The sequence below is a fragment of the Homo sapiens genome, chromosome 7, assembly GCF_000001405.40.
Source record: "Homo sapiens chromosome 7, GRCh38.p14 Primary Assembly".
Taxonomy (NCBI): domain Eukaryota; kingdom Metazoa; phylum Chordata; class Mammalia; order Primates; family Hominidae; genus Homo; species Homo sapiens.
This window is the reverse complement of record NC_000007.14, coordinates 37,923,833-37,946,728: the sequence shown is the minus strand read 5'-3', so window position 1 is coordinate 37,946,728 and position 22,896 is coordinate 37,923,833. Positions and strand designations below refer to the sequence as shown.

The window sequence follows — 22,896 nt, the reverse complement described above, 5'->3', positions numbered from 1 at the left end:
GTATCACCCTCTTTCACTCCCACATCTTGTCCCACTGGAAGGCTGTCAGGGCCAGTAACATGCATGGAGCTGTCACCTCCTATAATAACAATGTTTTCTTCTGGATACCTCCTGAAGGACCTGCCTGAGGCAGTTTCACAGTTACCTTTTATGTAAGTGGGAGCACACTCTAAAATAACGATAAAAGTATAATATAGTAATTACATACATGTGGCCAACAAACATAGGAAAAAAAGCCCAACATCACTGATCATTAGAAAAATGCACATCAAAAACACAAAAAGACACCATCTCATGCCAGTCAGAATGGCTATTAATAAAAAGTCAGAAAACAACAGATGCTGGCGAGGTTGTGGAGAAAAAGGAACACTTTTACACTGTTGATGGGAGTATAAATTAGTTCAACCATTGTGGAAGACAGCGTGGCAATTCCTCAAAGACCTAGAACCAGAAATACCATCAACCCACCAATCCCATTACTGTGTATATACCCCAAGGAATATAAATCATTCTATTCTAAAGATACATGCATACCTGTGTTCATTGCAGCACTATTCACAATAGCAAAGACGTGGAATCAACCTAAATGCCATCAATGATAGACTGAAAATGTGGATAAAGAAAATGGGGTACATATACACAATGGAATACTATGCAGCCATAAAAAGGAACAAGATCATGTCCTTTGCAGGGACATGGATGGAGTTGGAAGCCATTATCCTCAGCAAATTAACACAGAAACGGAAAAGCAAATACTGCATGTTCTCACTTATAAGCGGGAGCTGAATGATGAGAACAAATGGACGCGTCGGGGAAGCAACACACACTGGGGCCTGTTGGTGGAGCTTGGGGGAGGGGGAGCATCAGTAAGAATAGCTAATGGATGCTGGGCTTAATACCTAGGTGATGGGATGATCCGTGCAGCAAGATACCATGGCACACGTTCACTTGTGTAACAAATCTGCACATCCTGCACATGTACCCCTGACTTAGAATAAAAGTTGAAGAAAAAAAAGTATAATACAGTAATTACTTATATGCTAGAATTGTGTACAACTGACAGCACAGTAAGTTTGTTTACACCACCACCACCCCAGACATGTGAGTAATGCACTGCGCTACCACATACTATGGCTATGAGGTCACTAGGCAATGGAAGTTTTTCAGCTCCATTGTAATCTCATGGGACCACCACTTCATTGACTGAAACGTCATTATGAAGCACATCATTGTATTATTAGTAGCCGTATGCTTCAGGTTTCTATGAGGTAGTATGGAAATATAAACATGACATCATTTTACACCTTTATGTGTATCTTGTTTATTTCAGAAAAGATTTGAAACGGCTTACAAGGGTAAAAATAACCCAGACACATACCTTTAGAAATGAGAATGAATATAGAAAGAAATATAAGTGTGCATTTTATGAGATATTGCTCAAAAATGGAGCTAATTTTTTATAATATGCATGCAGGGTCAACGTAAAACTGTTAGCCCTTTGAAAAAGTTTGGGTTTGGATTGTCACTGTTTTCTCATAACCAGCTAAATCTCTGACACAATAGAGCCTAAGCACTGATTGAAGAAACACAGCAACATTAACCCAACTCTTAGAGCATTGTTCATTTGTAAATATGGGAATTGTTGTCCATACACAAATCCTGTCCTGTGATACTTTTAATGACCCGTGGGCCACCCAAAAAACAAGTTGTCTTCATTGTTCTCCTCACCACCAGCAATATCTTGTGCTTTCCCCAGTGCTAGATATCTGGGCTAGAAAGGCATTCCTAGCTTTTGCTGATATCCCTGTTGTGTGCTTCTCAGACTGCAATAGTTGTTCCCTGGAGAATATGTAGCCATGTGCAGGAGAGGGGGTTTCCTTCTTGAAATCATCGCCATCACTCCCCAAATCCACAGGATCACAGAAGTGTCATTAATATGGTTTGGCTGTGTCCCCACCTAAATCTCATCTTGAATTGTAGCTCCCATAATTCTCATGTGTCATGGGAGGGACCTGGGGGGAGGTAATTGAATAATGGGCACGGTTCTTTCCCATGCTTTTCTTCTGGTAGTGAATAAGTCTCACAAGGTCTGATGGTTTTATAAATGGGAATTCCCCTGCATAAGCTCTCTCTTGCCTGCCACCACGTAAGAAGTCCCTTTGCTCTTCCTTCTTCTGCCACTGTGAGTCCATTAAGCCTCTTTCCTTTATAAATTACCCAGTCTCAGGTATGTCTTTATTAGCAGCATGAGAACAGACTAATACAGTCCTCCTAGCCTCATATTTGTCATACATGTCATTCTAGCCTCATATTTACCTTCCTCACCAGAGTTTACTAGACCAGAGAGGAGACAATGAGATTCTTTCATCTCGACCTGTGTCATGGCAACCGAGGTCTAATAGTCAGCCTCTTATGTGGCTGGACATACCACATGTAAATTTCGAAGCTGAGGGAGGCTATTTTCCAAAACGCAAATGGAATAGGATTAAAGAATGAAGCAGAGAGAAGCACTAGCAAACTGGGATTCCAACAGCTGTTCATTTCCTGGGCTCTTTTTTTCTGAGATGCTTGGAGCACCCCCGCTTACAGAGTTACAATAAGCTTCCTTTGTTCTAATAAACTTTCCTTCATTTTTGGCTTGCAGCTTTTTATGCTACTCAGTTCTATCATTTCTGTTAGAATTGAGGACTCCAGTGCTCCATGGAGAGACCCGGGGAGCAGCTGCCAGCACAGCTGTGCTGGGAAAGGCCCAGCATGGCCCTGTGTGGCATCAAGGGCCACAGATGCCTGGTCAGTCACCTGCAACAGAAGGGCAGGGGACAGCAGGGAGGGAACACTCACAGCTTCACTGTTTCCCTGAGGCCCGCTCTGCCCACATACAGAAGTAAAATTTAATTTTAAAATGAGAATTTTAGACCCGGAACAATCACTATGAAATGTTAACATTTGCTAAATCTGGGTGGTCTGAACACAAGTGTTCGTTTTGGTGTTCTCTGTACTTTTCTATGTTTTCAAAATATTTGCTTTTTTAAAAGTAGACATCATCTGATATTGAGGTTATGTTGACTGTACCTCAAGTTAAACTGAAAATAATAAATTAATGGAAAACAAAATAGAACTATATAATTTGTTTTCAAAATCCCATGTGGATATAAATGCTAGTACTGCTCTATGACAAATTTTAGAAAACATTTTAATGATACTGTAGTGGCGTGTGTGTTTATGTGAACATATTAACAGTTAGGACATAAGTCTCTGCATCACAAATAGAATACAGGGCCTGTGGCCTGACAGGGACCAAAGGTCAAAATGCAAAGATCAGCCACGGTTGAGATGAGTAATCAGAGTGGGGATGCTGTACGGGAATAACCCGTGGACCCAAGGGATTAACAGACTTTGAGAGGAATTGGATTCCTGGAGGCGAGATCAAAGACTGGCTCTGTCACAGAGGCAATTGTGAGATGAGAGGCACCAACGCCCCCGCTGGGGCACAGTCAAGCAAGGTGAGATGCTGGAATTGGTGTTCAGGACAGGGAGGCAGACCAGCCCAGGTCAACAACAGCAGACAAACTTCGCCTCCTTGCTGGCCAGGCACCAAGCAAAGCATAGTTCACTGGGAGGGGCAGGCGAGTTCCCACAAAGGCCCTGCTGCTGCTGAGCCTCAGCTGTGAGCAAGGTCAGGTTGGCTAGGCCCTGCCAAAGGCTCAGAAGGCCAAGCTCTCCACGGCAACCACAACACACAGGACGGGCCAGCGGCCTGTTTTGCTTCTCACCATATGGGACAAAGGATTTTTGTTGCTTTTACTAAAATTCTCAGGTTACATTGACAATTTCCATTGTTTCCTGCAAATCCATTTCCCTAAAAAGTAGGCTCTCGAATCACCATGTTTTCTGAAACACCGAAAATCTGGGGAAGTTTTCTTGCTTTTGAAAATAGTTTTTTTTTAGTAAAACAGATTCATGATCAATATAAAAAAATTAAGCAATCTAGGGATGGAAAGGGAAGCAAAAATTGCCAAGAAACTCTAATTTACAGAAATAACAACTCTGTACATGTGTCTGGACATATATTCTTCTAAATATGTCTTTATGTACGTATTAATTTTTATATCTAAATTTTTATGTTTTAATTGTGGCAAGATACATGTGACAAAAATGTACCATCTTAGCCATTTTTAAGTGTACAGTTCAGTAATGTTAAATATATTCACATTGTGGTACATCAGTCTCCAGAACTCTTGCAAAATTGAAACTCTATATCCATTAAACAATAATAACCCATTCCTCCCTCTCCCCAACTCCTGGCAACCACCATTCTATGAGTTTGGCTACTCTACATAGCTCATGTAAGTGGAATCACACAATATTTATTCTTTTCAGTCAATATAATATCTTCAAAGTTTATCTGCGCTGTAGCATGTGTTGGCATTTCCTTCCTTTTTAAGGCTGAATAACATCCCACTGTATGTATACACCATATTTTATTTATCCATTCATCCACTGATGGATTCCTAGGTGTTTCCTAACTTTTGGCTATTGTGAAAAATGCTGCTATAAACATAGGTGTACAAACATTGGATTGATTTTTCAATATGTACTATACTCATTTTACGCAAATGAGTGCCTATCATTTATTTGTTTTCTAACTATGCATTTTAAATTCAACAATTTGCCCTTGATAATCTTTTAAGTAAAAAGATAAATCTAATTTTTCTAATTTTTATTATAAAATATTTTAAATATGCAGAACAGTTGGAGAACTAGTATAATGACCACTTTTATGTCTGCCTCCTAGGCTCAACAATTCTCTACATTTTACTGTATTTTTTCTAGTTTTCTAAATACTTCCTTAAAACAAGAGCTTCTGCCACATGGTCACAATAGGACTGTATCTTAGAAATAAAAATTCATTCCCTGATATCTGCTCCATATTCAAGTGGCCCCCCAAATACATCTTAAAGCTGGTTTTTCAAATCAGAGTTCAATTAAAGTTCAAGCATTATATTTGGTTATGTCTCTATCAAAAATCTGGAGCAGTACTCCTACCTTTTTATTTTCCAACATGACATTGACTCTTTGAAGAGTTCAGGTTTGCAGATATTCCACAATGTGGATTTCTTTGGCAGTTTCCTCATGGTGGCATTTAAATTGCTATTTGAGCGTTTGTCATTCTTATGAAATGGATATGAAGTCTAAAGGCTCTTTTCGATTTGAGTTCCAAGATGTTTGTAAATAACATGTCATTGGTGAGGTTGTATACTTTGGACTTTATCATATCTGAAGACAGGTGATGTACCTTCCCACTATTAATGCTGCTAACTTTGATCACCAAGTTATATGGTGACTCCAGATATCTGTTATAAAAGTGTTTCCTTTTGCAATTGGCAAGTAATTGATGAGTGATACTTTGTGATGTTGGAAATGTCCTGTTACCCAATAACTGTCACCTAATGGTTTTAGGCAAATCCGTTTCCTGAATCAATTATTTCACTGGGAGTTAGGATCATAGTACCAATGGTATAGTAAATGACATCCATCTATCTTAGTCTATTGAGTACCACTCTGGACTCATGGATTTATTATTTATTCAATGTATGACAAACAATTAAAGTCATTATTCCTTTTGATGCTAAAATTTACCCAAGTTTGGCCAGAGGGAGCTCCTTCAAGTTGGTACATGTATCTTCTGACATAATCCTATTAGTCTCTGAGTGCTTCCCGATGTTCTACGACACAAGGTGGCACAGGCTAACCTTGGACTTTCCCTGTCCCAGATCTGAAATCAGGCATTTCTCTAAAAAACTCTAGTTACCCTTAGTGGGGAAACAACTTAGAAACTGACATCAGGGCACTAGATGGGCTCATTGCCATTGAGATGACATTGCTTTGAATGCTTTTCAAGTGGTCAGAGCTTCCAATTAGAAAAAAAAAACTCGAATTCATATAGATATTTTCCATTTAAATTAACATTACAGGTTTTCCCCCCTATTTTTTGTATATCTTTTATATATCTTTCCTCTTAAAATAAAAATCATGCTTCCTAAAAACATTAACAAAAACATTTATTTGCTTTATTCTATGATTTTGAAATAATAACTTCAAAACTATTATAAATAACAAAATTGCCAAGTGAAGTTTAAGATTTCATTGTAGTTCCTCTTATCCTTAGAATATAATTCCCTAGTATCGAGAGTCAGTATTGTGTCAAAAATTTACTTAGAATAAGCCTATTCTCTGTGTGGTTATGTTTCCAGATTGATAGATCATTAGGTTCCTTTGTTTTAGTTTGTTCCCAATTCAGGGACTTTACACTTTTCCTCTCTGATTTTATTATTTAAATATGTAAAAATTTTCATATTTCAAAACTCAAAATGACAGAAAATGGTACGTTGAGGCAAGTTCCCCTTCCATCCCTATCTCCTCTTCCCTATTCCTCATGCTCCTTATAGATAACACTTTTCAACTGCTTCCATTTTATTTTTCCTGCATGCCTGTCAAAAAATAAGCAACTACATATGTGAATTATTATTTTCTCTTCTTCTTTACAGAAAGAGTAGCATGCCATATAGACCTTTCTGCATCTTGCTTTCTCCATTCTCCACTAATGCCTACAGACTATCCCTATTTTTTCATGGCCATGTAAATTTACTGTGTGCAAATATCATTATTTCTTTAGCCAGTCTTCTACCAATAAACATTGAGTTGTTTCTATTCCTTTGATATTAACAAAAATAATGACCTTGTGTTGTGCTGTTTTGGAGTTGTATGTTTAGGGTAAATTATTAGATGTGGAATTACCAGGTCAAAAGGTAAAAGCATTTGTGGTTTTGTTAAATATTACCAGATTTCTCTCCACAGGGTTGTACTATTTTGCATGCCTATCAGCAATATATTATAGTGCCTTTTTTCTTTATAGTCCTGCCAACAGAGCATGTTGTCAAACTTAAATTTGTGCTAATCTGAGGAATAAGAAATGGTATCTGACTACTAGGTTTTTGTTAAGAATATTTTTAGTAAGTATAACATCCATAAGAGGGGTCTTTAAAAAGTTCACGGAAAATGTGTATTATGAAAAAACTATGCATGGATTCCAACTTTTTTCACCAAAACAAACTCACAAAACTTGTTATAACATGCCTAAACAGGATCTAGTTTGAGGCACCAAGAAGAATAAGACATCAGTTTGGGTAGAGCTCCTATCAGAGCAACATGCATTCTGCTAAAATTAAAGCAAGAACAAATATTAAATTTATTATAAGGCTCAAGTGGCAGAATGGTGAAATCACTGATGTTTTACAAAAAGTCTATGTGACATTGCTTGAAAGAAGTCAGCAGTTACAAATAAATAACTCATTTTAAAAAGGTAGGAGTCAATATTAAGATTAAGATTTAAGATTTAAGCCCACAGTGGCAGTTCATCCACATCAATTTGTGAGAAAAAAAAATCTTGGGCCAGGCATGGTGGCTCATGTCTGTAATACCAGCACTTTGGGAGGCCGAGGCAGGCAGATCATGAGGTCAGGAGATCGAGACCATCCTGGCTAACATGGTGAAACCCCGTCTCTACTAAAAATACAAAAAAATTAGCCGGGTGTGGTGGTGGGCGCCTGTATTTCCAGCTACTCTTGAGTCTGAGGCAGGAGAATGGTGTGAACTCAGGAGGCAGAGCTTGCAGTGAGCTAAGATCCCGTCACTGCACTCCAGCCTGGGCAACAGAGTGAGACTCCATCTCAAAAAAAAAAAAAATTGGTCATGCCCTAATTGTACAGGAGACAATTGTATAGGACAATTGTACAGACAATTAACAGGAGAAACAATAGCCAGCACCACAGATAGCTCAATTAGTTCAGCTTATACAATTCTGAATGAAAAATTTCAGTTGAGCAGACTTTTCACTCCCAAGGGTACTGAAACAATTGTGGCGGCCCAATCAGCTGCAGAGAAGAGCAGACCCTTCAATGGAAATTTTACACAAGTGGTCAAGATCCTGAAGCATTTCTTTTACGAATTGTAACATGAGCTGAAACATGGCTTTACCGCTACAATCCTGAAGACAAAGCACAATCAAAGCAATGGCTACCAAGTGGTAGAAGTGGTCCAGTTAAAGCAAAAGCAGGCTGGATAAGAACAGAAGTCATGGTAAGTTTCTCTGGATGCTCAAGGCATTTTGCATGTTCGCCTTCTGAAAAGCCAAAGAATGATAACATCTTCTTATTATGAGAGTGTTTGAGAAAGTTAGCCAAAGCTTTAGCAGAAAAATGTCCACAGAAGCTTCACCAGAGCTTCTCCACCATATCAATGTTTCTGCTCATTCCTCTCATCAAACAAGGACAATTCCATGAGATTTTTGATGGGAAATCATTAATCATCCACTTGACAGTCCTGATTTGGCTCCCTCTGACTTCTTTTTGTTTCCTAATCTTTAAAAATATTTAAAGGCACTGGGTGTGGTGGCTCAAGCCTGTAATCCCAGCACTTTGGGAGGTCATGGCAGGCGGATCACAAGGTAAGGAGATGGAGACCATCCTGGCTAACATGGTGAAACCCCATCTCCACTAAAAATACAAAAAATTAGCCAGGCATGGTGGCTGACACCTGTAGTCCCAGCTACTTGGGAGGCTGAGGCAAGAGAATGGCATGAACCCGGGAAGCAGAGTTTGCAGTGAGCTGAGACTGCACCACTGCATTCTAGCCTGGGCGGCAGAGAAAGGCTCCATCTCAAAAAAAAAAAAAAAAAAAAAAATTTAAAGGGCACCCATTTTTCTTCAGTTAATATGTAAAAAAGACTGCATTGACATGGTTAAATTCCCAGGACCTCACTTTGTTAAGGATGGACTAAATGACTGTTATTATCATTTACAAAGCTGTATTGAAGTTGATGGGGCTTCTGTCAAGAAATGTTTATATTTTTTATTCATATCTTTTAATTCTATTTTCCTATGAACTTGCAAAAGTCCCCTTGTACAATAGATTGCATAGATTTAAGGTGTGGAACTTGAGAAACTTTTTAGGTGAACAATCTGAGTATCTCCAGCACAGATCAAAGATAAGGCACCTCAGAAGCCTCCATTGTGCCCCCTCAGTCACTAACCTTTCAAAGAGCAGTGTAATTTTAATTCACCTCCTTTCATAATAGTTGGTGGAGTGTTCATATATTAAGCATCATCTGATTTTATTTTTCCATGAACTGACTGTTCATTTCTCTGCACATCAGAATTTTTTTCTCTTCTCTATTTTCTATAGATCATTAATTAATTAGCGTTTTGTACTTGATATAAATTTCCCCTGCCATTTGTTGGTTTTATTTAAATGTTTTCTACAATGCAAAGGCTTTTTCATTTTTAAAAGCAAATTCCTTTTATTGTTTCTGGGTTTTGTCATATTTAAAAAAAGCTTCCTACTCTCAGATTATAAAGGAATGCATCATGTTTTCTATCATAACTGTGTGGTTTTATTTTGTTTGTTAGATCTTTAGTTTGGTTTGCAGTTTATTTTTATGTACGGTGTGAGATGTGGATTCAGTTTCATCTTTTCTCAGTTGTTCCAACAACACTGATTAATAAGTCCATCTTTTCCCCAGTGATTTGAGATGCCACCCTTATCACATACCTAATTTCCAGATGTATGTGGATCTATTTCAAGACTCTATTTTATTCCACTGAATTGCCTATTTACACATCAATGTCACACTTTTTAATTACAGAGACTTACTAGTGTGTTTCAACATTTGGTCAAATTTACTAGTCCTCCTCTTGTGTCCTTCTTTTCCAACGTTTTCCTATGTTTGGGCTTTTTAATTTTTCCATATGAAATTTAGCATCAACTTAGCTAAAATAAATCCTGCTTTTTTGCATTTATTGGAATTCAGTTAAATCTAGGAGAACTGATATCTTTATGATGTTGAATCATCCTATCACTCCAAAAAAGGGGTGTTTAAATTTTTTCCTATACAAGGTTTGCACATTTCCTTTAAATTTGTTTCTAAGTAGTTGATCTTTTGTTGTCACTGTTGCTGTTTTAAATGACACTTTCTCTTACACTATCATTCTAGCAAGGTTATTGTTTGTATATATGAAGACTATTGATTTTTCATGTTAATTTTACATATAGCCACCTTACTTTTATTGTCTGAATTAGTTTTATGTTCAGGTCTTTTGTGTCTTCCAGGAATACTATATCCATATCATTGATAGAGATGGTTTTCAATTTCTTCTTTTCTAATCCCTTACCACTAATTACTTTGTCTTCTCTGTCTATACTGGTCAGTAAATTCAGCACAATATTAAATAGAATGTAGGTAATGGGCATCCTTGCCTTCTTCCTGAGTTTAGCAGAAAAAGGGCTGTGGTTTCAAGTAAATTAAGAACTACACAGGTTGTGCTATGTTAAAGAAGCATCCATCAGTTCCTACTGAATCCATTGTATTATGAATGTTTGTTGAATGTTATCAACTGCCTTTCTGCCAGACTAAGGCTATAATCACATGATTATTTTATAGATATTTATGGATTTTCTAAAATTGAACCATCTTTGCATTCCTGGAATAAATCTCACTTGATTACAATGTATTTTTTTAATGTGCTGTTGGACTTAGTCTGCTATTAAGGAACTTTTAATCACTTATTATATCAATATTCATAAGTGAGAATGAATTACAATAATTTTAACAGATTCACATTTCCCTTGTGTATATATATATATATATATATATATATATATATATATATATATATATGCCATGATTTGCTAGTTCCCAAATCATGTCCGTTTAGATTATTTCTACAGTTTTGTTAATATTAATGATGCTGAATATGAATTGGAGATAAAACCTTTTACCTTTCTGTGTTTATATCCCAGCAAAAAAATTTATAGAATGGGATCATTGGATCAAATGAAATTCCCATCTCATATTTTATGAGATACTACTAACTGTCCCACCTCCCCACCCCTACCCAACAAAAACACTGGAATTTTGAACTAGATGTAGAGCTTCATTAATTTCTCTGCATTAGAAAAGATACTAAAAGTTTACCCTACTAGAAGCAGGGAAAAAAAACTTTCTAGTTTTCTTAATTTGGCATAAGGTTTACAGACAACGTAAAAGGTTAAAAAGCTTAGGTCAAAGAATCAAGCTTCCTCATTTGCTATTGATGAGCTGTATGATAATAAATGTCATCTCTCTACTTCTCATATGGAGAGACCAAAAATTTGAAACTTATGACATTCTTATGAACAGAATTTGAGATAATAGATATAAAATTGTTATATAAATGTAAGGTATCATAACCATGGCAGGAAAATCTCATATTTGTGTTTATCATCATCAGTTAACGTTTAACAGGGAAACAAATCATTTTACATGTACACATATGAATTGCTCTACTACGTAACAAAGAAGGGCTAATTCATCCAGGTGGGATAGAGAGATGAAGGACAGAACATCTGAGTGCTATGGTGGATCCCTTACTAAAAGACCCAGCAGGCATTTGTACCCCTTCTCCCTTGTCTGTCTCTCAATATAGAGGTTGAGAAAATCACACTGATTAGTCCCTCTACCTCCATGGAAGATTGGAGCCCTGTAGATACCAAAATTCACAGATGCTCAAGTCCCTTAGATAAAATGGTTTAGTATTTGCATATAACCTATGCATATTCTCCTGTATACTATAAATTATTTCTAGATTATTTATAATCTTTATACAATGTAAATGCTATATAAATAGTGGTTACACTCTATATTTTTGATTTGTATTATTTTTATTGTCATAGTTAACTTTTTTTTTAAAGACAAAGTGTCACTCTGTCACCCAGGCTGGAGTGCAATGGCATTATTTTTGCTTACTGCAACCATTGCCTCTCAGGCTCAAGCAATCTTCCTGCCCCAGCCTCCCAAGCAGCTGGGACCACAGGCACATGCCACCATACCTGGACATTTTATGTATTTTTTTGTAGAGATGGGGTTTTGTCATATTACCCAGGGTGGTCTCAAACTCCTGGCCTCAAGTGATCCTCTCACATCAGCCCCTCAGAATGCTGGTATTACAGGCATGAACCACCATACCTGGCCATTTTTAATTTTTTAAAAGAATATTTTCCATCTGTAGTTGGTGGAATCCATGGATATGGAATCCATGGATGCAGAGGGCTGACTGTACTCATATTCTTAGTCTCCCTTAGAGCTAAAGGTATCTGGTTCTGGCTTTGAAGATCTAAAGGAAAGTTTGTAATGAGAGATAATCCTCTGGAGATTCCTCCTTTTTCTCAAAGGAAAAAGAAAAAAAAAAAGAGGAGAGTCCTTGTTCTAGGGAAGCTACTCCCTTCACTTTCTGTCTTTGACTGTAGTTGGGAGAGGATATAATGCTAGGAGCAGAGGCAGCCATCTTGAAGCCATGAGGCAACAAGTCAACATGCAATCTTGGAACTACGAGCCATCATGCTAAGAATGGCAGAGTAGGTCGGGCGTGGTGGCTCACGCCTGTAATCCCAGCACTTTGGGAGGCCAAGGCAGGTGGATCAGGAGGTCAGGAGATCGAGACCATCCTGGCTAACACAGTGAAACTCCGTCTCTACTAAAAATACAAAAAATTAGCCAGGCGTGGTGGTGGGCACCTATAGTCCCAGCTGCTGGGGAGGCTGAGGCAGGAGAATGGCGTGAACCCGGGAAGTGGAGCTTGTAGTGAGCTGAGATCACGCCACTGCACTCCAGCCTAGGTGACAGAGCGAGACTCCGTCTCAAAAAAAAAAAAAAAAAAGAATGGCAGAATAAGTGGATGCAGATAAGCCTGGGGTCTTGATGAAACTGTTGAATCAGACCTAGGAACATGTATCCCAAGAATTCTGGAGTAAACAACGAATATTCTTATATTTTAGCATTTGCTAGTCAGATTTTCTGACACTTATAGCTGTAAATATCCTTAATGAAATGAATAAAAACCACTCCTTTATGGATAACATCTACTCAATTCATTACAAAATCTCTATGAGAGCCTTCCCTCTCAGAATGAGCAGGGCCCAAATATTTGACTAATCCTAGAACCCCAAATACCGGAGCTTGGCCTGGGTATAGGTGAACCTGAGCAGCTACTGCCTTAACAGTCAAGAGACAAGTGTTTTTCTGTCACAATTTGGAGTAGTCAGGAAAAAAAGAACACATCCAAAGCAGAGGTTACAGACTGGCAAATTCAGCTGGTTGAACATGTTATTAGCATTTTTATTTTTTTAACAGATGAGAAAATATGAGGCTCACAGCATAACTTCGTAGTTAAGTACGGGATCAACCAGACTCATTCTAACTCTTAAACACCATGTGCCTTCTCGCTCTCAACAGGGGGAAGGAGTGATTCTTCCCATCCATGTAGAACTGCTCAGCCATCCAAGATATATTAAATTACAGAAAAGGGAGTAGACAAATATTATATTGTGATTACAAAAGGACTTTGGCTTTTATGGAAAAAATTGAACAAACTTTGGATTTGTTTAATACGCACTATAATAGATTAGTAATGCATGCCGGCCATCTGACTCTCAAGAGGAAGAATTGAGCCGCGGCCACTTGCCATGCTGGCGTATACTAAGTTTGAGTTACACCCTGCAATGATTATGAGACATAAAAAAGAAAAAACACTATTTCAAAATTGTGTTAGATACAAACTCATTGTGCGCATTGTTGCCAATCACATATAACAAAAGGAAAATTAAATTACTTAAGAATGCAGCCTGAGGAAAAGCAAAATCAAAGAATAATTATGTTTGCCATTTAAGAAGCTGTAAGGTGATGGGCCTCCATGACTTGGATTCCAGTTCAAAAGATGAAAAAAGTGCTTGAGAAATTGAAGAGCTTTTTTTCCCAAAATATATCTGGATGAATATTGGCAATGTGTAGGCAAATACTCTTTCATCTGATGAAAGATAATAAAAAATTTCTCATGAGACAGTAGTGCAGGCTGAGTTTTGTTTCACCACCACAAAAAGAAATAGCATCATTAGTACTGAGATATCCAGGTTGCCATGGTGCTCAGTGGCTTCTAAAACGACATAGCAGGGGATGTCCTCTAAGAAGGATGGGAAGGACAGTGCAGGGTCAGCATGATGCCATTTAGCAGAAATAGATCAATTCCCACCATGTTGAAATATAAACTCACGCAAACCCTTCCAGCTAACATTTAATGAAACTCTGAAATATAAATCTTATTTTTTATTTTCACTGGGATTTGGGATAGACTGTGTTTACAATTGAAAAGGAATAATGTGTGACCACAAGGATAGCTTTCTGATGAAAAATATCATTATCAAAATAAAAAATAGTAGCAAGGGCCTGTGGTCCCAGATACTTGGGAGGCCGAGGTAAGCAGGCCACTTGAGCCCAGGAGTTTGAGGCCAGCTTGGGCAACATAGTGAGATGTCATCTCTAAATAAATGAGTAAATAAATTTTAAAAATTTAGAAATTAAAAATGCAGTCATGGCTTTGTAAAGCAGATTGACTATGGCAAAAACAACAACAACAACAAAAACCACCTCACAGGCAGTGACTTAGAGGGTATTATTGTAGAATTCAGAGGGGAAAAAAACATATTAAGTGATGAAAAGGCTAAAGCAAAGAAGACATTTGGAAGACAGATGTAATGTAAGAGAACCAGAACAGATAAGCAGAAAGAGATTCTGTAAGGAACCAACAAAAAAGCAGAGTATCAAACCTCCAGAAATACTAGAGGAAAGTTCCCGACCGGGCGCGGTGGCTCACGCGTGTAATCCCAGCACTTTGGGAGGCCAAGGTGGGCAGATCACGAGGTCAGGAGATCGAGACCATCCTGGCTAACACAGTGAAACCCTTTCTCTACTACAAAAAATAAATAAATAAATAAATTAGGCGGGTGCAGTGGTGTGCACCTGTAGTCCCAGCTACTCGGGAGGCTAAGGCAGGAGAATCACTTGAACCCAGGAGGTGGAGGTTGCAGTGAGCCGAGATTGTGCCACTTCACTCCAGCCTGGGTGACAATGTGAGACTCTGTCTCAAAAAACAAAAACAAAAACAAAACAAAGTGAAACAAAAACAAAGTTCCCCTAAAACTACACCTTACCTGGAGATGTTAATAAAATTCAAGGATAATAGAAACAACCTACAAAAACATGGGCAGAAAAAAAATTATTGAAACGAAACCAAATTTAGTTTGGTGTCAGACTTCTCTTTTTTTTATTTTTTTTATTTATTTATTTTTTTATGGAGTCTTGCTCTATCACCCAGGCTGAAGTGCAGTGGCGCAATCTCAGGTCACTGCAGCCTCTGCCTCCCAGGTTCCAGCAATTCTCCTGCCTCAGCCTCCTGGGTAGCTGGGATTACAGGCGCATGCCACCATGCCTGGCTAATTTTTGTATTTTTAGTAGAGATGGGGTTTCACCATGGTGGCCAGGCTGGTCTCAAACTCCTGACCTCAGGTGATCCACCCGCCTCGGCCTCCCAAAGTGCTGGGATTACAAGCGTGAGCCACCGCACCTGGCCTCAGACTTCTCTTTGAGAGCTGTAAATGCCATAAACATATTTAAGCAAAAAGACTATTTTTACCCAAATTGTATACACCAAAAAAAATCATTATTTAAATGGCAATAAGTAGATGTGCTTAGACATTGAAAATCTCTGAAAGTATGCAACCTTAGTGTCTTCTCTGAAAAAAAAAATTGAATAATTTCTCTAGCTGACTAAAACATGAATTGAAATAAAGGTAAATACGAAAATTAGTATAAAATAAATTGCAGTGAACTATGAAAGGAGTAAAATGGCTTGTTTCTCTAAAACAGAAGACCTTGTGACAAAGCTCCTTATAAACTTATGCAAACACACACACTATAAAAATTCCTCTGTGTTTTAACAACTGCAGAAATTGACCTTTTTGAGGCTTGATTCAGCATGATGAAAGAGGACTACAAACCACCAAAACACTTCAAATTCTTTTCAATATACTAAGTGGAACCTAAATAAATACTTGTCCTGTGCAAAAGGAACTGTGTTCTGATGTCCGAGAAGTGGATTCCCAAGCTTCATTTCCTAACTCCTTAAGGAGAGTTGAGACCTCAGAAGGGTGAGATCTCTGGGGTCCAAGGGTAAGCCAGGCCGTGCCTGAAGCTGGGCTAGGATGAGAATTTCTATTCAAAAGGACAGGGTGTGTGACAAGGGACAGGTGGAGGGCTTGACTGTGAGAAGAAGAACTCCCACACCTACAGGAAACACAATCCATGCCAAGATACAGCACCTGATGTGGCATTTCCAATGGATATGAAGTCTGGGGCAGATTCTCTTCCCCCATCCTTCACTCCCAAGAGTGCCTGCTGGTACTCAGATACTCCTCATAAGTTATATGTTACCTATTGCTGACAATGCTGCGTCAGGCAGAGCTGTGCCCTTGGCCCTGCACCACCGGCTTCCCATCTGCCACTGTCTTCCCTGGTGGCTTCTGAGATGCTCTGGAGCAGCGTCTTCCCTGAGAGAGCTGGGGCTGTGACTCTGGTGCCTCTTCCAAGGTGAGCTTTTGGCTGTCACTCATCGGCAGGGCCCACATTCTAGAACTCTACCAGAAGATCTAACTTTAAGCCACAACAAAAGCAGCCTTCTGTGAGCGGGCAGGAGTCATCCAAGGCATGTATATCCTTTTCCTCCAGGAGAAGTTGCCTTCTTTAGGGGAGCCATCATCCCAAGAGTTTCTCCTTTCTTTGGGGGGACTGAGGGTAACTTAGGCACCCTGCTAAGGATCTGATTCCTCTTCAGATGGCCTCCCGACTCAAAAAGGCACTGCTTCTGAGAAACTGTGGGTGCTTTAGAAATAAATCTCAAATGCCCACATTGGGTGAAATTCCCCAAAATTGAAATTGAGGCACAAGAGAGACACTGAAGACAGTGTTTGATGAGAGGGCAGTGGGGGAGTGGCTCATGGGCGAAAGGAGTTTGGGGCATCCACTCTCTGGAGGTGGTGGTGTGCCCTCCACTTCAACCCTACTGGAAAACTTTTCAAAACACTGCAGTGTAATTCGATGTCAAAAATCATTCTTAACAGAAAAGAGGTATAACGTAACATATAAATGAAAAACCATGAAACCATTACATAAATCTATCATTTTATTGTCTAAGAAATTTAATTATAAGGAAAAAAGGAAAGAAAATACATATCTATTATTTAGGTATCCTTCTACAATGAATGTATATTATCAGTTATTCATTTCCCTCATTCACTGATTCAAAAAAAAATAAAAATTAGTCAGGCCCTGCTCTTAGCAGTTAGAAAATGGAGCTTGGGAATCGCCTTCTCCGACATCAGAACACAGCTCTTTTCATATGGGACAAGTATTCGTTTAGGTCCCACATAGTATGTTGAAAAGAATGTAAAGTGTTCTGAGGAGTTAGAGACACAGCAACAACCATACAAAACCCCTGGCCTTACGGAGCCTTATTGTGCATGAGGGAAGGTGGGGGAGATGAAGGAACAAACTTTAACGTTAAACACTCTGCCAGATAGTCATAAGTGCCTTGGATATATTAATATAAAGCAGTGAGGGGGCACTGAGAATGTTGAGCAGAGAAACAGTTCAATTTGGGAGTAAGTCATGCAGCTTCTTAGGAAAAAGTCTTTCTAGGCAGAGGGAATGACAGATTCAAGTGCCAATGGGGTCAGCGTGCTGAGGCCAGGTCCACAATGAGTGAGCTGGTGACAGAGATAAGGTAGGGAAAAGGCTGGGGAGCAGATCCTGAGCCAAGAAGTGGCATGACGTATTTTCAAGAGAACCCCTGGGGTTTCTATGTGGAGAACAGACTAAAGGGAGCAAGGTCCGAAGTGGGGACAACTGTTAGGAGGCTATCATAAACATCCAGCCGAGACATAATAAAAGTTTGGGCCAGAATAACAGTAGAGGTATGGTCAGATTCAGTATATATCAAAATTAGGGTATAGGTAGGAACATAAAGAGATGAGAGCCTGAGCCCTGGGAGAGTCCACTATTAGCAGTCCAGAGAAGAGCAGAAAGAGCAAAAAGGCTTGAGGAGAGGAAATAAGGTGGGAGAAGGAAAACCAGAAGACTAGCATGTTGAAAGCCAAGTGAAGACAGTGCATCAAGATTGGGGAATTAATCTACAATAAGATGAGGACTGATCAAAGATTGGTTGATTAGTAATGTAGAGCTTCTTGCTTTTGACCAGAGTATTTTCAATAGAATGGTGACAAAAGTGATTGGAGGGTGTTCAAGAGAGCATGGGAGTACAAAAATTGTAGTTAGCATGAGATTTGCTTTAAATAGAAGAGGAGAATGAGATTTCAGCTGGTAAGATCAAGAGAAGTTTTTTTTTTTTATTTAAAGATGGGTAAAATAAAAGAAAATGTTAAGGGGGAAAATAGAAATTTTTTACTGGAATTGGTGAAATCTAAGACTATCATATTTATTCCAGGAAAAACAAACCACTAATTGGTGGAATATTTTCAGATCTTTGGGCACTTTGCCCCTGACCACCATCCTCAAGGTCAGAATCAGGAAGAAACAGCTCAAGGTTATTGGAGAAAGTAAAGATGTTTTCAAAGCAGTATAGTGACCACCTCTGGCTTCCATTCGTAAATTTGTCTTACATTCCATCAGCCTCCTTACTCTCCTGGGCTTATCTTCTTTGGATCTTTTTTCCCCAGTGCCTGCTTCTCCCTCCCCATCTCAGCATTAATTGTCTGAAATCCAGGGTCTATAGACACACTGAATTAAGTCCCTTAAATCAAACTTTGTGTGCTTCCAAGAAAATCTGTTTCTTGAAGAAAAACTCAAATATTGCGAAACTCAAGTATTGCAAATCAGTATGGTTTATTCTTTGAGGATCAGGAGGCCACAAGCAGTCAAGACTTCCTCAGCTCACAAAAGAATATGCTATCTCCAGCCATCTGAGACCAAAATGATGGAGTAAAGGTCAAAGGAGAAGTCATGCTCTTAATATTCACAAAGTCGTGATTTCTTAAAATGAAAATCCAATCCATGCAAGACAAGATTCATGATCAAATAGATTTATTGAGCACTTTATATTAGTCTGCCTCCCCCAGTCACACAGAAACACCCTCTGAGGATTTGTAATGATGACATACTGAGAATCCAAAAGCAATACAAACATATGTTAAGAACATAATTTCATCTACTCCTTTCTCTTGAACAATTTAGACTAAAGCCACTAGGTAGGACCAAGGAAGATAGGCTTCTACATGGGCTGGCCTGGAGCGCAGAGCCCATGTGTGAAGGAGACAGCGTAATGATACATGACTGGTTACCTACTGCAATTGAATAGTAAGCCAGTTTTCTCACTGGCTGAGAAGGGAGTAGCAAAAATGAAAGGAAAAAAAAAACTAGAATGAACCATGTAGTGTTGGATTAGAATGAAGGCATCAGTTTAAACACCTGTATGGATTAGAACTGGAGGTTCAGAAATAAATATAGATGTAAATGTGTATATATGTATGAGTGTGTGTGGGGAGGGATGTGTGTATTCAAACTTAACACCCCTTGCTTTGTCCATTGAGAGGACCTGGTAGCAGTGCCACCTGATAGCACTGAGCATGACCAGAGCACAGGTTCTAACTTCCACATATTATTCTCCAGGAAAAGTAACCAGGGCTTCTTGAAAAATGGTTTATCCTAGGACTGGGGCAGGAAAAGTATAGATGATCTTGAAATATCTTGCTGTGCCGGAAAGCAAGGAAGTGCCCAAACACATCAAAAGAACATAGAAACCAATTTGAAGAGGCTTCCACTGGCCAAATCTAGGACATTATGAACAGCAAAGTAAACAACGAGAGCAAATAGAACAAAATTAGAAGGCTTGAGTCCACACTGATACAAATAAAGTATAATTCAGAAGATTAATGAAGAATGGGATATGTACATGGTTTTAAAATATTTCCCTACCAAATCTTACTAATTAAAAAGAAAAAATGTATCATTTCACAGTGAAGAAGGCTGGCAGACAACAGTCAATCAGGTGATCAAAGTGAACATCAGGATGCAATTGGAACAGAGTATTATCCCTGATATTCCTGCCAAAGGTAAGTAACTTGAATCTAATTATGAGGAAACATCAGACAAACCCAAATCAAGGAACATTCTACAAAATAACTGGCCTGCAATCTTTAAAAGCACTAAAGTGCAAGGAAGACTTAGGAACTATTCCAGACAGAAAGAGACCACAGAGACACCACACTTAAGTGTAATGCTTGCATTTAAATCTTTTTTTTTTTTTTTTTTTTGCTATGAAGAACATACAAAGAACAACTGGCAAAACATGAATGACACCTGAATTTCAGATGGTCAAAATGAACTGGTGTTAATCTCCTGACTTTTATGGTTGTATTGTGGTTATGCAGGAGAATGTCCTTGCTGGGAGGAAATACACTGAAGCATTTGGGGATCGTGGGTATATCAGTTTGGCAACTTACTATCAAACAGTTCAGGCGAGGGGGAAGCTCTTTGTATTATAATTGCAACTTTTCTGTAGGTGTGAGATTGTTTCAAAATAAAACAAAATTATGTATTTGAAAAATAATCCTCATCCTCCTTTCCAAACACATAAGATTACTGAAGTTACCTTAGGTGATAGCAGCCCTGGGAATTAATCATCCACAGCTGATACTTGGACCAACACCCCTATAAGCAACACTATTCCATTCTTAGTAGGAAGGGAGGCTCAGTTGAGTGCAGAGCCTTCTGAGTTTGGGCCCGAGGCATTTCAAGGTAGCCTCTTCTCTTTTTCTACTCATAAGCACAGGCTTAGATGAAAAAGAGAAGGAAGAAAAAGAACTTTGAATTAATTTGTCTACACAATGGGACAGATTGAGAAAAAATTTAAAATCTGTGTCAAGTTCATTGCATTAGAAACAGTGAATCAGCCTGATATAATAAAAGTACAATTGGTGCCTTCAGGATATCATTTAATACTATCTGTACCTAGCATTTAACAAATGAAAGCCTAAAAGTGATTTAGTATCAACATTGTAGGCATCATTCAAATTAAATTAAAAGATGAAAAACACAGAGGTTCTGCAATGTTGAGGACCTTATTGGGGTGAAGGCAGGATTAGAAGCCATGGTTGTCACTCCATCATGGTCTAACATGAATGCCCCTGCTCTCTCCACTACAGGAGGCTGATTCTCTGTTTAAAAAAGAGGTTAATGCTATTCTCTTCTCCAAGAAATAATATGCTCTGGGAGAATCAAGAGAAGCAGACATGAATTAATCAGAATTTGAATAAGAATCCACCTGCTGCCCCATTTGTGACATATTTTTCATGTTTTACAAATACAAATCCTTAATAGAACATGTACGACTGGTGATGAAATAATATTCCAAGATACCAGACTGTGCATATTGTTTTACTGCCTCTCTGCTCACTCTGCATTAAGAGCTTCATTGATTCCAACACCCAAGCCACCATTTTGTAAGGGGGAGCCTATAGTTACTGGTGGCCTGAGAGGGTTCATTGTGTATCAACGCTGCTTCCCCTATAAAGTTCAACATGCTGCCTGAAATATGAAAATCATCTTCTTGATTTCCTTCAGTCTTTCAAATAAATACTTGTGAATTTAATCAAGGAGTCAGAAAAGACAGTTGGAATTAGAAAATAAAATGGTATCAATTACTAATATTTCCCATTTGCTGCTCAGGCTTGTCTTATCTGAAGCTTGTAAAGTTGTTTAATCTTTTCCATCATCTCAGGGAAAACAGAGCCTGGAAAATCCTAGTCATTCCACAGTAACTATCAATGGGATTTTCCATAACTATCTGGATGCAAAATGAAAATCTTAAGAAGTTGATCCAATTCTAAAACTTACTTCTCAACTTACTCATAAATATGAAGAGACAACTCATCCATATTTTCTTCAAATAACATCTGGTTGCTTGGCCAGACTGTTAATACCTGAAAAAGTTTCTGAGTTTGTTCCAACAAATCTACACTTAAAGAGCTTAAAAATGTGTTTATGCATTAAACATTCTTTTCCACATCTGACTTAGGGCCAGCGATGTGACTGTCAGAAAGAACCTTGCCAAGAACTCGGAAAGAAAGGGAAAACAATGTCTTTTAGAAGTTTAACTGTGAAACCAGCACCTATTGGATTAGGGCAGAGGAATGAGAAATCACCGCAAAGGGACAAAAATGCTTCTAAGCCAGCAAGAGTTGGCTGTGACTCCACTAAAGGTATAAAACACACATCTAAAGGCTATATTAGTCAGTCATGGAGTCATGGAAGAAGGGTTGCTCAGACAGACTTGAGCAGTACTCACCAAGGGTCCATTCTGAGTGGAAGGGGTCAGGAACAGCACAGTTGGGGTAGCACAGAACCACCACCAAGTCATCTCTATTGTGAAAATCAATGCATCACTTTGCCTTTGCCTGATTACCATTAAACCTTACCCCAGGCTGGCCTGTCTTATTCATGATGGAAAACTCCACATTGAGCATACAGCCTAACCTAGGGCAGGCAATCATTAGATGTTTGCTCAATGAATTTGCTCCAACTCTTTGCTCACAACTGCCTGATGATAATTTGGCTCCCCACATAGTTCTGACTACAGGGAGAGAATGACCTAGTCTGGTGGATTTGAGAATGCTGGTCCTCATGCCAGCAATAAGACTCATTGAAGTAGACAGGTTTAGCATTTGAGTTTCCTTACTCGAAGGTTGTTCCCAAAGGAAGGGTCTGTGTGTGCTGCTGTATCAAGTTTCTGAGCCCAAAGGGCTGGCAGCAAGTCTCTGGGCTATGGTAACTTTACCAGGATAATGATGATAGTGGTAGCGATGGGACCAACCTTGGCCATGAACAGAGCATCTTGTGCGTACTATCAGACATTGTACTGTATGTTTTATACACTTGAGCTCATTTAATTCCCATAATAA

General features: G+C 38.7%; 1 protein-coding gene across 3 annotated transcripts in view, besides 1 other annotated feature; it reads right to left on the bottom strand.

Moving 5' to 3' along the window:
- Positions 1–22,896, bottom strand: part of EPDR1 (ependymin related 1) — a 31,297-nt gene that overhangs the window by 5,208 nt on the left and 3,193 nt on the right. The gene's annotated exons all lie outside the window — the stretch shown is intronic.
- Positions 2,208–2,502: a silencer, noted in NCBI's record as "tiled region #10360; K562 Repressive non-DNase unmatched - State 24:Quies". NCBI's record gives its function as "represses a minimal TATA promoter and a strong SV40 promoter by Sharpr-MPRA in K562 cells {active_cell/tissue: K562}" and the evidence as "EXISTENCE:reporter gene assay evidence [ECO:0000049][PMID:27701403]".